Below are 14691 nucleotides of genomic sequence, written 5' to 3'. Positions count from 1 at the left end.
TGACGTTTTGCAACTGGATGGTATAATTACCGTTTATACTCTGTGTCAAAAGCAAAGAGAGATAAAAATGAATACTTGAGCACAGAGAGATAAAAATGAATGCTTGAATTTAGAGCAAATTCTTCCTTTTTAAAGATTTGCTTTAGAGATGAAGAAATTCACTGTACACATTCACAGAGAAATTTAAGGAAATATGACTTTCCTTCGATAATTTTTTTCCCTTTCCACAATTCTCAAGTGTCTGTTTTTGATAAGGGCACTGCTGTTGAAGAAATTGCCAAATTTATTCCAAGGTCTTTGTGTTTTGTAAGAGAATCTGTAATATTCTAAGTTCTTCTTATTATTAGCGTTCCAGAAACTAATTATGAAAAAAATCTTTATTTTTAGCCTTCATAATTACAAAAATAAGAAAATGATTTTCATTTAAGGTAACCTGAGATATGCCCAGTAGTTGTAAACACAGTTGTCTTTTATTAGAATAAAGTTTCTTGCAGGCCATAATGTAAAACTTCAGCTACATCTGTCTCCAAGATGAGTTATTTGGCCGACTTTGAAATCTGATCATCCTGATTTGCTGAGTCACTGTAATCTCCCATTGCAGCCCCTTGGCAGGTTCTTTGAATCCTTGATGCGGGGAATGGCCAACAGGGGAGCTCCACAAATGCACCGTGGATGGAGCCATTCAACATTTGTATGTGGCTGGTAAAGAGTGATTTTGTGAACTGCTTTTCAAAACACTTCTTAGCTTTCTTTATTGTTCTTCCTGCCCCCTCACCCACTTAAATTTTTTGTTTTTGCCTAAAGTCTGAATTCAGAAAATAGGTCTTTTGTATATGCCAACAGTCTTAAACTTTTGCGTCCTTTACAAAAAAAAAATCCATTTCTGGGAATGTGTACGAGGAATGTACTTCCAAATCAAGCAGAGTGTCATTGGCATGATCATAGCAGTATTACTTATAATAATAAAAATTTTGTTATTCCCCAAGTATCCAAAAAGAGCAAAGTGGTTGAGAAAATTTAAATGTCAAAAATTGTTTCCATGGCCATATACGTATTATTTATGTAGTCTATTTTTAAGAGAAAAAAGACATAAAATTTCATATATAATAACCTTTGCATCTATTTTTTAAAAAATTCTATACATAATAGAAGTGCTAGAAGAAGATGCTAAAAACATTAATGATATTGTCCTTAAGTAGTAAACTATGATTTGCTTTTTTCCTTTTAACTTTTCAGAATTTTGCACATTTTCATTAGTTATGACATATTACTGTTACCCAGTCTGGAGTGCAGTGGCATGGTCTTGGCTCACTGAAACCTTCACCTCTTGGTGTCAAGCGATCCTCCCACATCAGCCTTCTGAGTAGCTGGGACTACAGGTGTGTGCCACCAGGCCTGACTAATTTTTTAATTTTTTGTAGAGACGAGGTTTCGCCATGTTGGCCAGGCTGCTCTCAAACTCCTGAGCTCAAGCAATCTGCCTGCCTTGGCCTCCCCAAAGTGCTGGGATTAGAGCCACGATGCCCAGACTACCTATTACTTTTATAATAGAAAATAATTAATACACTTTGTTTTAATTAGTGATACATTTCAACCTCAAAGAATACACAAAGTCCCTCTTCTGTTACATATTTTGATCCGAAATAATAAACTGATATGTATATATTCCTAGATGACATATAAAACATATCTATTTATGTGTTTGCTTCAGACTGTAGAAGTGTTTCCATTTTAGTTCCTCAGGAATGGGTACAGACTGTTGTGAGAAGCATCATGCATGTCCATATTTTAAAAGGGAGTCAGGATCTGCAAGAAATGGAATTCAAGGCATGTTTGCAGAGCCAGCAGAGGAAATATAGTATCATGGAGCAGGCACGCCAAGATGGCAGTAAGGGAGAAGCATCACTCTCTTGAGTTACCTCCAGCTCTTGAGGGACCTGCATGTGCCTTGCATTTAAAATATGACAATTGATCTCAATGTATTCTTGTTTGATGAATTTTTCAACTCATTTATGAATAGTGACTGCAGCTAAGATGCATCAGGGAATGTGCTGAATGCAGGGGATGTTTGCTTTTTTTTCTTTTTTTTTCCACCTGACATTCTTCCTTTCTCTTGGTAGAAGCACATCCATCTACCTAGCCACTGTTATGGCGTTAGAGCATGCAACTCCAAAGTTTTTCTCTGATGATTTCTGGGAAAGGAAACTTCCTGATTTGGGGGGAAGAATTACTGGTAGAAATGGCTTGTCTTCATAGCAGAATAACACAGAGAAGTATATGGCTGAGACCACGAGGGAAAGCAATCTTAGGATGAAGCAGACATCATGTGAAGACAAGGGGTGAAGGAAACCTGGTCTTTGATGATATCTTTGAAATGCTAGGTCCAGCCTCACCTGAAACCTCCATGACTTCTAAATTTTTAAATTATGGAAGCAAATAAATATATGTAAAATGGTTTACTCTATTTTGAATGGAGAGTTTTAGGTTACTTACAATTTCAAGCCTGCAAATTAGAACTCTGGGTTATTTAGGTCTTACTTGATAAAAGAAATGCATACTAATATAGTGAAATGGACAGGCTTTTTACCGATACTAACTTGTAACACGAATGTAGCACAAGTCTCTGGGTGAGCAGTTCTTTGATGCTAAATTTGGGAGGGTGCAGAGTCATCTATCAGTCATCACCACATCACGTTGATTAGACCAAAAAACTCACAGATCTGCTTGCTTCTTTCCACCCTCTTGGTCACTGTGTTCCTTTTGGCCACCTCCTTGTCTCACGGGGATCACCACCACACCTTGCCTCTGCTTCTCTGTGTTCTACCCACCTCCTCTCTTGCTCACCTCTAATCCATTTCCCACACCACAACCAGGGTCTCTTTCCAAAGCACAAATCTCATGATGTTTCTGATCTGCTCAAGATTTTTCTGTGCTCTCCATTCCTCTAAGGATCAAGGTCAAACTCCTTCTTATGACACTACAGGATGGAGCCCTGCCTTTCTCCCCAGCTCCCTTTTCCTTCCTCCCCTGGCCTCTCTCCCTCCAGACACTCACCTTCTCTCTGGTGCTCAAACAGAATCCCAAGCCAACATGGGCTGTTTTCTGTATATGGAAGAGTCTCTCCTCCCATCCTTCCTGGCTAGATTTCAGTCTCAGTGTGGACATCATTTTCTCTGGGAAGGGTTTTCTGACACCCTTCTATATGCTCCTTCGGCAGGCATTCTCTGTCATTGCATCCCTGTCCTATCATGTGACATTACAATTGCCCATTTCTTGGTCCATAACTCTTACTATACTGGAAGCTATGAGGACAGGTCCATCATGCTCAGTCTCATGTCTTCAGCCATAACACAGCACCTAGCACACAGTAAGTGCCTTATAAATATTTGTTGAATGAGTTAATGAATTAGGAAATGATATGGCAAGCCCAACACATAATACCATATACATGTCAGTGAAAAAGTTATATTCCGCTTGCATATATGTGTGTCTAATTCAGAAAGTTATTGATTTGGTAGTGTAGCACATTTAAGTGAAAATGGTTCCAGTTTTAAACAAGTTAAAAACATTTCATTTGGGTTTTGATTCCATGAGCCACAGAACCTGAGCCAGTTTTCTAAGCAAACTGCTGTAACTCTGTTACGTGAGATGGAGTGGGGGAGAAGTGCTTTAAAAATAGCTGACCTGACCGGATATCCCTCTCGGTGGCCTGGGTTATGTAAAAGTATTTTGTGTTAAGCCAATGACTCACAATGGCTCGCTGAGCTTTAAAAAGACTATTTGGGGTCCTTTTTCAGTGTTAAATATCTGCTTATAAACGGATCAGACTAAAACTCTCCTAGAAAAAAGGATACAATGTCCAAATGTTACCACTTTCTAACTCCAGATACTTAAAAAGAATTCTGATATTGATACTAAAAGTGATTTTTTTTTTTACAAAGTCCTTTAACAATGTAGTGAAGAAGCCAGGATTCCTCTAAAGAAGAGTTGCTAGATTTGGGTTTAACATACTTTTCTACTGGAGTAGAACAATCAGAAAATATCTGGAGTTACTAACATTTATTTTAATTTTTTTAAAGGAGTAGTTCGGGGATGTTGTTCTTCTAGCCCTCATAAAAACAAAACAGTGGGGGCTGCTGTTTGTTTGTTATAAACTGTATTCTTGGGTACAGCTGACTGGACCAAAGCAGGCAAGTCTACTGTGCTGTGATATGCCCTGACTCAACAGCTCTATCGAGACAAACATGAAGTGATCAGCTGGACCAATCTTATTCCCTCTGGAGATATGGGGCATTAGATGCTTGGTAGTGGGAATGGAAGCTGAGATAAACAGAGAGAAGGTAGAAGGCAGACACTCTGGAAGGAGAAGACATGAATGAATAGAAACCATGATGTGGAAGCTGAGTAGGCAGAAACCATGAGCTAGGACATACATGCGTTGGTTGTCTGGAGCAGGAATGGTAGAATTTCTACTGCATTGCTATAATTCCCACTGTGGAAGGGACAATGGGCTAATGAGGTCAATAAGCCTGCATATTCCTAAAATAACTTCCATTATCTATGAGACCTGCCTCAAGAACTAACTTCCTATTTATCCAATTATTAAGGGTGTATACTTACAGAAAACTCAATTTCTTGGGTCTTTGCCCCAAGCTTCCTCCCCTGCAAGAAACCCCATCTAGTTATATATGTGCACACCAGCTTGTAGAGCCATTTGGATCATACACAGCTCATCCCTGCTGCTGTACTTCTCCCCTGCCATGATCACACCATCAAAGTCAATTTCTATTCAAAGGCATCCCTGGAGCAACCATTCTCTTCTTAGTCACAACTGTGTGATTATCAGCGTCTCCCCATCCTCACCCTCATCCTCCCTCCAATTTTCTGTTTGCAGAAGACCCAGTCCAGCAACTTGGTAAGTCAATATCTGAAAGGTTGCTGGAATCCAGATTCCTGAAGAAGATGGAAAAATTACTCTAGTATCCTGAGTAGGGTGCTTTAAACTTTTAAAGACAGTGTGTCTTCCTGCACACAAAGATAGAAGAAATGAATTACTGTTCATCATGTGTACTAAAAATATCTGGAAAATCTCTAATGAGTGAGGAGAACACCATCAAGAGGAGCTGTTTCAACTAACTCTTTTCTAACTGAATGTTCCAGGAAGCAGATCAGTGCCCTTATTAAAGAGTCCCAAGGGAATTTGCTCACTCCTTCCACCACGTGAGGACACAATGAGAAAGTATTATCTATGAACCAGGAAACAGGCCCTCACCAGACACCAAATCTGCCAGTGCCTTGATATTGCAATTCCCAGCCTCCAGAATTGTGAGAAATAAATGTCTGTTATTTATAAGCCACCCAATTTATGATGTTTTAGTAGAGCAACCTAAACAGACTAAGACAAAAACCTTTTCTATTCTTCACCTGTCCTGAAACAAGAACATTTAATGTGATAGAATACCCCCTCAAAAACAGATGATCTACACTCTCCCTCATGGCATCCCAATCCTATTAACATCTACAGATGGTGGAGCCTACTTACCCCCTTAATAAAACCAAACTTAGCATCCTCCAAGGTTGGCCTAAGGGAAGAACTTCCTTGTGAAGAGGACACTGGCTGAACTTTGTAACTCTAATTTCAGGTCAACCAAATTCAAACTCCTTTTGTGCTGCTCTCACTATTAGCTGTTCCCCACACTAGCCTGGCCTCGGGAGAGCAGAGATGATGATGCCACTGTCAACACTGGCCTTGTGCAGCAAGGGTGACAGCAGAGTCTCCCCTTAATTCCCAGTGGGACATCCAAGACAATGGTGTCATCATAAGCCTCATTATTGGACACTCATCATTATCACACCATCACAACAGCTGTTTGATTTTTATTTTCTTGGTTTCTTTGACTTCTCATTATGTAATGCGCGTTATCTTATTCAACAGTGCTGTGATCGAGGGCGTGATAGAAGCCTGAAAGTATACGAAAAATCAAACCAAATCAAATAATCTCCCGTTCTCCAAACACCACCCCAAGGGTGGGGGGCAAATCTTTAGAAACAGAAGGCGTGACTAACACACAACCAGCTATTCTAGTTAACAAATTACTGTCCACTCCCATGCTGTTGAGTTCTCCTTCCCTGTAGGAGATGCTGACTCCTTCATTATCTGGACACTTCCAGTAGCCCACAGGTCTAGAATTCCAGGTCCAAGAGGGTGATGCCCAGAGAGAGGCAGGCGTTCCCTCTTCTTCCTCAGTCTGAGGCAATGTTTTCACATGAGAGTTCCAAGGACCATTTGCATCAGAATGAACTGAGATGCTACAACTGCAGGTTTCCAGGCCACACCATAGACTTATTGAGCCAGAATCCCTGGGGATTTTGCCAGGAAATCTGCATTTTCAAATACACTCCCTCTCATGCACACTGAAGTTTGAAAACCAGTAGCCTAAGGCTTTCCTTCTGAATTTCAGTTCTCTTTTTACTTCTTCCCTATTGACAAGGAATGTTTTCTCTCTTCTGTGGGGATTATAATTACACCAAATAGCTACATGGTGATGGGAGTAGGGGAAAATCAGTGGACTATATAACAAATTAAATAGATATTCTCTTTATATATGAAGATGAACACACTATCTTAAACCTACAGTTGTCATTGCTTTTTTAGTAGTAATGACTAGCTTACCTATATTCAAGAGCAAGAACAACGTGTACAATTGCCCTTCTTCTCATACAGCTAAAAGGTAACTGGTCCATATAGAGATTTTATCTGATCTTGGCATGTTGTCTAGCAGCACTGTGCACTCACACTTGGGGTAACTGCGAAAAGCCCTGTGTCAAAGCACCTCAAACCACCCATCCTTTGTTTGATCAGACCTTGCACTTGGCCAGAAGCTTTCTGCTTTTTACAATTTGGCTGACTGAATCCACTCCTAAGAAAAGAATTGCAACCTAATGCCAAAAGTCCAGTGAGGGCCGGGCGCTGTGGCTCACGCTTGTAATCCCAGCACTTTGGGAGGCCGAGGAGGGCAGATCACGAGGTCAGAAGATTGAGACCATCCTGGCTAACACGGTGAAACCCCGTCTCCACTAAAAATACAAAAAATTAGCTGGGCGTGTGGCGGGCGCCTGTAGTCCCAGCTATTCGGGAGGCTGAGACAGGAGAATGGCATGAACCTGGGAGGCGGAGCTTGCAGTGAGCCAAGTTCACACCACTGCACTCCAGCCTGGGCGACAGAGTGAGACTCCATCTCAAAAAAAAAAAAAAAAAAAAAAAAAAAAGGCCAGTGAGGCAGCCATGCAAAGGAGGGGTCAAGAATGTATACACAAGTTTAGAGAGAATTTTTCTAAAATGCGCATAATGAAAAAAAGATGAGTCTTTCTATATATTTAAAATGCTCTATTTGGTTTATCTGGTTCGGGTATGAACTTTAAGCATAATCAAATTTTGTTATGTTTTATTAACTTGATACCTCACTATTTTATATTTTGAGTAATTTGAAACAGTAAAGTAATATTTTAAGTTATTGCTGGTGGAAAAGGAAACGTGATCCCCAAAAAGTAAAAGGATATATTAATAAAGAAAGACTTGGAAGTGAATACCAAAATGTAGTAGCATAGCAAAAATATTGACCAGATCTTTCTTGGTACAAAATATAAGACTTATCACTTTTTGAGGGGCATCAATGAGCAAGGCAGAAGCTGAAACCAAGCTGGCACTCAAGGTCACCCAAGAAGGACTGATATTTCAATAGTTATCATTTCTTTTAGAGACTGATTGAGTCAATCTTAATTTTACCAGGGCTGACACTCATATGTCTGCAAAAGTTGAAGTGCCTCACAGTTTGCTGATAAGCAATAATTAACCAGCAACTCAGTCTCCGCATTCCCTTGTCCATCTTGGGTAACTGCCAGATGAGTTTCCTAGCCAGGGTTCACCCATGTGCACTTGCTGGTCTGCATTTGTTGATCCTGAGGGTACTTCTCTCCTCACTTGTTCATATAAGAGGCTTCTTGGCTGAGGCAGAAGGTTGCTGAACCACCAGTTCTGCTGGCCAGACTATTGTCTGGATTCCTGATGTCTTGCCAGGGTTTTGAGGTGGCAAGCAACAGAAGTGATTTAGGCTAATGCAATGATCAAAAAGGAATTTGTTGGAATGACATGGGGGCAGCACATAGAAATTGAAGAAAAGTTAAATAAACACAACTCAGAAAAAAACAGCCCCAGGGCTGTTGTGAGAATCAAGGTACAAGAACTGATGGAGAGTTTTTGCAAGGCGCTGCTGTCAGGATGAATAACCTCCTTGCACTCTCAGTTGAAGATTTAAATTCCTGGGAGAGGGCACTTGACTGGCTTGGCTTAGGTCCTGTGCCCAATCTTTTGACTAAGGGACTGACAAGCAAGGAGGAGAGAGTAGTTCTCTCAAGTGAAATTGATGTGCTACCACCAGAAGTAGGAAAGAATAATTGTCAGGGGAAAGTAGCAGATATCCATGTCACTCTGTTTTCTGGTGTCCATGGCTTCCATAAGCCTGCCTGTTGACCTTGGACATACTATCTCATCTTGGTTTGGAGTCCTTTTGGCCAAGTTTGGTAACTCCACCAAGTTTGAGTCAATCTTCTACCTGTATGCCCCCTAATGCCTGGTCTGACCTAAAGTCTTAAGTCAAATGCAATTCCAATGAGCCCTCTGATTTGTATTTTCCTCGTTTCCATCCACCACCTTGTTCTGGTCTCTGGTTCTGGTCTGCACTGCTCCTTGGGACTTTTACATATCCCTGAGCACCATTTCTTTTTTCTAATTTATTTTTCAAAATGGGAATTAATCATCCCTTAGTTTTATTCTAACTCATAGCTTGTTCCTCCTTCTCCTGGAGGCCCCAGAATGAGAGTGTGGGAGGTCATCTCTTATGGGACATGGTTTGCTATGGTGGCCATGAAGAACGTAATCATTTTCAATTTGCTTATAGAGTGAGGAACTACCATTCTGATTTTAGAAACAAAAAGTACTGTCTTTCTTTACTTTGAATAAACAGGAAAATTAGAGGCCAAAAAGAGCTTATAACAACATAGATCAGCCCACTCTATTTAGATCAATTCAGTGATTTATCCAATTGAAAAAGCATAGCAGTTTCACATGTAAAAACAAGTCTGACTTAGGGGAAGCTTCTCTAAATGCTGCTTTGTGAAGGTGAACTTTATTAAAACAGACTCCTAAGTAAATCATTTACAGTATGTTAGTAAATGTTAGAGTAGTTGGTATTAGTCTTCTGGTTTTATATCAGAACATATTAAACACATTGCAAATGTTGATTTGTGTAACTAAATAATTCTTGAATTGGATATATGTGTGATAGCTCAAGAGGGGTTTGATTGATATTCTGTTTCAATAGAGGCTGATTAAAATTGTTAACATTTTTCCCCAATAATTGTGGGTGTTAAGGCCTTTATTACAAATCTGTTTTTTCCCCATTATATTTGCTTCTGAGATAATAATATAGCTATTATATAATCTATTTCTGAGATTATAATGCACTATAATGTTTATCAAGCTACTGCTCAACTTGATATAAGGAAGTCAATTTAGTTTTAATTTTGATGCATGGTTTAAGCCAGATCAGCCTTTAAGAAACCTAGAAAAAAATCTAATAGATTTTATTCACAAATATCCCCTGCTGGGAGGTCATTAAAAATGAATGAGAGAATCAGGAGGGGATGGGATGAGTAGAGTGGTCTAGAAAAACAGGACATTGCTCTTTGATGCACTGACTCAAAATTCTCTTCCAATGAGTGAATGATCTTGAGCCAATGTGCATGTTTTATGGTGTTCATGAATGGGAGGTCTCTGAACCCACCTCATTCCAGATTCATAGCTGTCGTGAGTGGGTGGAGGGGCACAGAAGTGGAGAGCTGATTGTGGCTGGAGGCTTTAAATCTATCAAACATTTGGCTGACTCCTGGCCAATAAACAAGGAAAATAACTGTAAATTCCATATTTATTTGTGGCCAAGATATTCCTATGGTTCATTTTTGGTAAGAGCTGAGACAAATCAATAGGGAATCAGCAGTAGGTTATTCTAGAAGTAATGCTGAGAAAATTGGCTATTTGGGGGAAATTTTTTAAAAATTAGATCTTCAATTTATGGGAAATCATATTTTAGATTAAATAAGAAAAGATAGATATACATCAAAATGTTAATTCTAGTTATATTTACAAGATAGAATTTAGGGTGATTTTATTTATGTTTTTGCTCATTAGTATTAAAACTGTGTCTATTATTTGGAAAGGAGAACTTGCAGTATAAAAAAATTATACCCATTACTCTAATTAATAATTCTACTATATGTCCGTCATTAAAAAATCAGATATGTAGGCAAAAATCATCATAGCCTTGTTAAAAACATAAAAACTTTAAGTTAAATTATGGTATATAAACATCATCAAATATTATGCATTCATTTTTAAGGGATATTTACTGATGTGAGAAAATACAATATAATGTCAAAAAAGCCGGATACGTAATACCATATGCCATATGATCTCACTTTTATGCAAATATACCAAAATATTCTCACTGGTTATCCCCAGGTTCTAATATGAGGAGTTATTTTTGTTTTATAGTTTTGTTTTTACTTTTATCTATATATCTCAAATATTCACAAATGACATGCATTACATGTATAGTTAGGGAAAAAAGATCTGTGTATAAAGAATAGTTATGTTCAATCTAATAATTAGTTGCAGTGGCTTCATTTTGAAACTTCACAAGGATTCATCCTCTGAAGGATATTTCAAGAGTTTCTGTAAAAGAGTGCATCACACATAAGTGCTCGGTAAATGTGCACAAAATGAATTTATACTGCCGACCCTGATGCAGCCAACTACGCATTAATGGAATTTGAGGGAGGCTGTGTACCAAAGCTGGTTCCATGCCTTCTCTTTTAGATACATGTCAAAGAGTTCTCTATTTTAAAGACAAGAAAGGCAGAAATTATTAATATTAAATGTTACCCAGAAATATCTCTATACCAGGTATTTTTTCTCTATTAACAGGTATTTTCATTGAGGTACCTGATAAAGTCATCACAAAAGTGATGAAATCACTGGCTGAGTTTTAGCGTCAGTATTTACACAGGATGCTGTAAGGTAAATACTCTGCTCATTTTTTAATCGGGATAGTCCTAAGGGAGGATGCCATTTCTGCTGATGTTTCAAATAATGTTATTAGAAAATACCAGCAGCAAAGAATGCACTGAATAATATTTTCAAAAACAAGAAACTCCTTAATGCATTCCAGGAAGTTGATACTAGGTCACGAAATAAAAGGAGAATTAAATGAGTATAAAAAACATTTGGACTATTGCTTTTCTGATATTGAATCTCATTCCTGTCTCAGTAATACTTGGCATTTGTGGAATGCTTGACTGTGTGTAAAATGTGCGATTGTATTGTTTCAGGAGATAGGAGGGGAAGATTTTATGTGCCACATCTTGTGATTCAGGAAACAGAAACTGAATTTGAATCTGAGTGGCCTTGGAATTTTAGTGACTTGCCCAAAACTGTCACAACAGTGCCTTTCTTCTGGACCATGATGAAGGGTTCTTACTGCTGCCGGGCACTGCCTCTTTTAGATCCCAGGGTGCCTCAGATGTCCTTGCCTGCATGACTGCCCTTGTAGGGTGTGGGGATGCTGCTCATTCAGGTCACATGGGCTCTGAATGTTCCGTCTCTGAAAGGCCTGAGCAGGTCACAGCGAGTAGAAGCTCTGAACGGTTTCGTGGGCACAGTCCCAGGCACAGACAGTACTCAATAAATCCACATCTCATTCTTCTGCCTTTCTGCAGCAATTAGAGAGCACTGGCACCTGCGTGGGACATGCAGTCTTGCTTCCAATCAGTTGGAACCTCATCTCATAAGATTTCAGAGGCTGCCCTGTTCTCAGTTTTTATTGCTTTTTGGAAAGGATTGCTGATCTGCTTTTGCGTAAGATGGCAAAATAAGAATCTAGTCCGTGTCTGTAAACCTTGAAGCACTGCTACTAATCGCTGACAAGGGCTTGATCTGGGGCATAAAGTAGAAGACAGTAAAAGCACCGCACCGCCCAGTAACTCTACTTGTTGCTTTCTGAGTTCATTACCAACAGTTTTAAGCACTTTACTTTGCAGATAAACAATGTTTTCAAGCCACTGAAATCTTACTATAATACTTTCTGGCTCCGTTGCACTTACGCATTTGCTTAATATAATGCCTGCAAGTTCACTGTTCAGTACATTTATCAATCTTATTCCTCCTCTCAACTCCACTCAAAGTTTGCTTTTCCATATTTACCTCGTTATAACATGCATAATTTTACTATTATTCTCTGCACACGTATCTAAGCCCATCACTTGATTGCATACTCCATGAGGACAGAAGGGACCACATGAGTTTTATCTCCCTTTGTTCCCAGCGTGTAGCACTGTACCCCTCACATAGTAAGATATGGAAAAGTATTTGCTGCCTTGTGGAATGAATGAATGAAACATTCAATGTTTTGTCCCAAAATAACGTTTTATTCTTCTGTCAAAGGATTAAAGAACTACTAATTCTTTATTGACTTTTTAGTTTGGATATCTAATAAAATACCAACTGTGACATTAAGAGCTCGAACCACAAAGATGGATGAGACGTGAAAACTTCTTCAAGGAGTTGAGTAAGGGAAGCAACATGGAAGTAGGTTAAACTATTTTTAGATTGCAGAGTCAAGTAATATTTCAGTAAATAAAAGTAATTAATTGATGCTTTTTTTAAGTCTCATGAAGCATTCATCATTTTAAAACTCAAATTTATCTCATATATTACTTAATTACTTAAATGGTAAATACAGTGGCATCTGACACTCATTTTTAATTATCTGGGAAGTTTTTGGTTGGAAAGGGCTGTGGCCAGGCACGATGTCTCATGCCTGTAAACCCAGCACTTTGGGAGGCTGAGGCCGGCCTATCACTTGAGCCCATGAGTTCAAGACTAGCCTGGGCAAAATAGAGAAACCCCAGTCTACAAAAAATACAAAAATTAGCCAGGTGTGGTGGCATGCATCTGTAGTCCCAGCTACTTGGAAGGTTGAGGAGGGAGGATTGCTTGAGCCTGGGAGGTTGAGGCTGCAGTGAGCCAAGATTGCACCACTGTACTCTAGCCTGGGCCTCAGAGTGAGGCCCTGTCTCAAAATAATAATAATGATGATTTATTTTTTTAAAGGAAAAGGCTCTACCAAATATCCTTATAACCGGAAATCCCAATTATAAGCCCACTTTCTCTACTAATTTGATGAACATCATTGGATCAGTCTCTCACCTATAAATCAAGAATGACACCCAGCACTTTGGGAGGCTGAGGTGGGTGTGTCACCTGAGGTTGGGAGTTCAACACTAGCCTGGCCAACATGGTGAAACCCTGTCTCTACTAAAAATACAAAAAAAAAACAAAAACAAAAATTAGCTGGATGTGGTGATGTGTGCCTGTAATCCCAGCTACTCAGGAGGCTAAGGCATGAGAATTGCTTGAACCTGGGAGGCAGAAGTTGCAGTGAGCCAATATGATACCACTACACTCCAGCCTGGGCAATGGAGTGACTCTGTCTCAAAAAAAATAAAATAAAATAATGACATTACCTCATCATCTAAATCAGACATTTGTTAAGAAAGCATCTGCATACATAATCATTTAAAAAATGACTTTAATAAACGTCGGAGAGTATGGAACTCTATATATAGTATACACACATTTCTTTTTTCTTTTCTTTTTCTTTTTTTGATATGGATCTCACTCTGTTGCCCAGGCTGGAGTGAAGTGGTGTGCTGTCAGCTCGCTGTAGCCTCCACTCTGCAGGGCTCAAGCGATCCTCCCACCTCAGCCTCCTGAGTAGCTGAGACTGCAGGCACATGCCACCATGCCCGGCTAATTTTTAAATTTTTGGTAGAGAGAGGTCACATTGTATTACCCAGGCTGATCTTGAACTCCTAGGCCTGGGTAATACAGTGAACTTTTTGCCCTGGCCTCCCAAAGTGCTGAGATTCCAGGTGTGAGTCAGCATGCCCGGCCCGATTTTCTTTTTCCTTCTTCACAATTTCATGAATAGAAGATTTGTTCTTACCGTAGATCTCAGCAATCTCAGCATACAATTTTTTCCTTTCCTTATTAAGTTGAGAGCTTCCACTTTTTCACTTAAAGGATGCACTTTATGGCTTTTCCTTGGCATTTCCCAATGGCCAACATTACAAGTCTTGTGTTTGGAACCATTGCTAAGTAAAGTAAGAGCTATTTGAACACAAGCATTGCGATACTGTGACAGTCACTCTGATAACCCAGAGGGCACTCAGTGACTTGTGGGCAGGGAGCATAGACAGTGTGCATCTGCTGGAAAAGGGGATGATTCACGCCCCAGTGGGACACAGCAGGACGGTGCGAGATTTCATCATGCTACTCAGAACGGTGCACAATTTAAAACTTATGAATCGTTTATTTCTGAAATTTTCTACTGAATATTTTGGAACCCATTGACCACAGGTAACTAAAACCTCAAATAGCAAAATAGCAGATAAGGGAGGACTACCGTATTTCTAAATACATAATTGGAAATGATCAAAATGTTCAATAAGAGGGCATTACTTAAATAACTTATGGTACCAATCTACAATAAAGTTCTCTATAGACATTTAAAAATT

The 14691-nt window shown here is 39.3% G+C and overlaps 1 protein-coding gene across 8 annotated transcripts in view, besides 2 other annotated features; it reads right to left on the bottom strand.

The window, feature by feature from the left end:
* Nucleotides 1-14691, bottom strand: part of COL4A3 (collagen type IV alpha 3 chain) — a 150169-nt gene that overhangs the window by 122632 nt on the left and 12846 nt on the right. The gene's annotated exons all lie outside the window — the stretch shown is intronic.
* Nucleotides 239-1438: an enhancer, noted in NCBI's record as "MED14-independent group 3 enhancer chr2:228055439-228056638 (GRCh37/hg19 assembly coordinates)". NCBI's record gives its function as "activates an origin of replication core promoter dependent on BRD2, BRD4, P300/CBP and CDK7 cofactors, and independent of MED14, by STARR-seq in HCT116 cells {active_cell/tissue: HCT116}" and the evidence as "EXISTENCE:reporter gene assay evidence [ECO:0000049][PMID:35650434]".
* Nucleotides 6067-6605: an enhancer, noted in NCBI's record as "H3K27ac-H3K4me1 hESC enhancer chr2:228050272-228050810 (GRCh37/hg19 assembly coordinates)". NCBI's record gives its function as "activates a minimal SCP1, AML or CMV promoter by ChIP-STARR-seq in primed H9 embryonic stem cells {active_cell/tissue: H9 hESC(primed)}" and the evidence as "EXISTENCE:reporter gene assay evidence [ECO:0000049][PMID:30033119]".

This window comes from Homo sapiens, chromosome 2, assembly GCF_000001405.40.
Source record: "Homo sapiens chromosome 2, GRCh38.p14 Primary Assembly".
NCBI lineage: Eukaryota > Metazoa > Chordata > Mammalia > Primates > Hominidae > Homo > Homo sapiens.
This window is presented reverse-complemented; position numbering and strand designations above follow the sequence as displayed.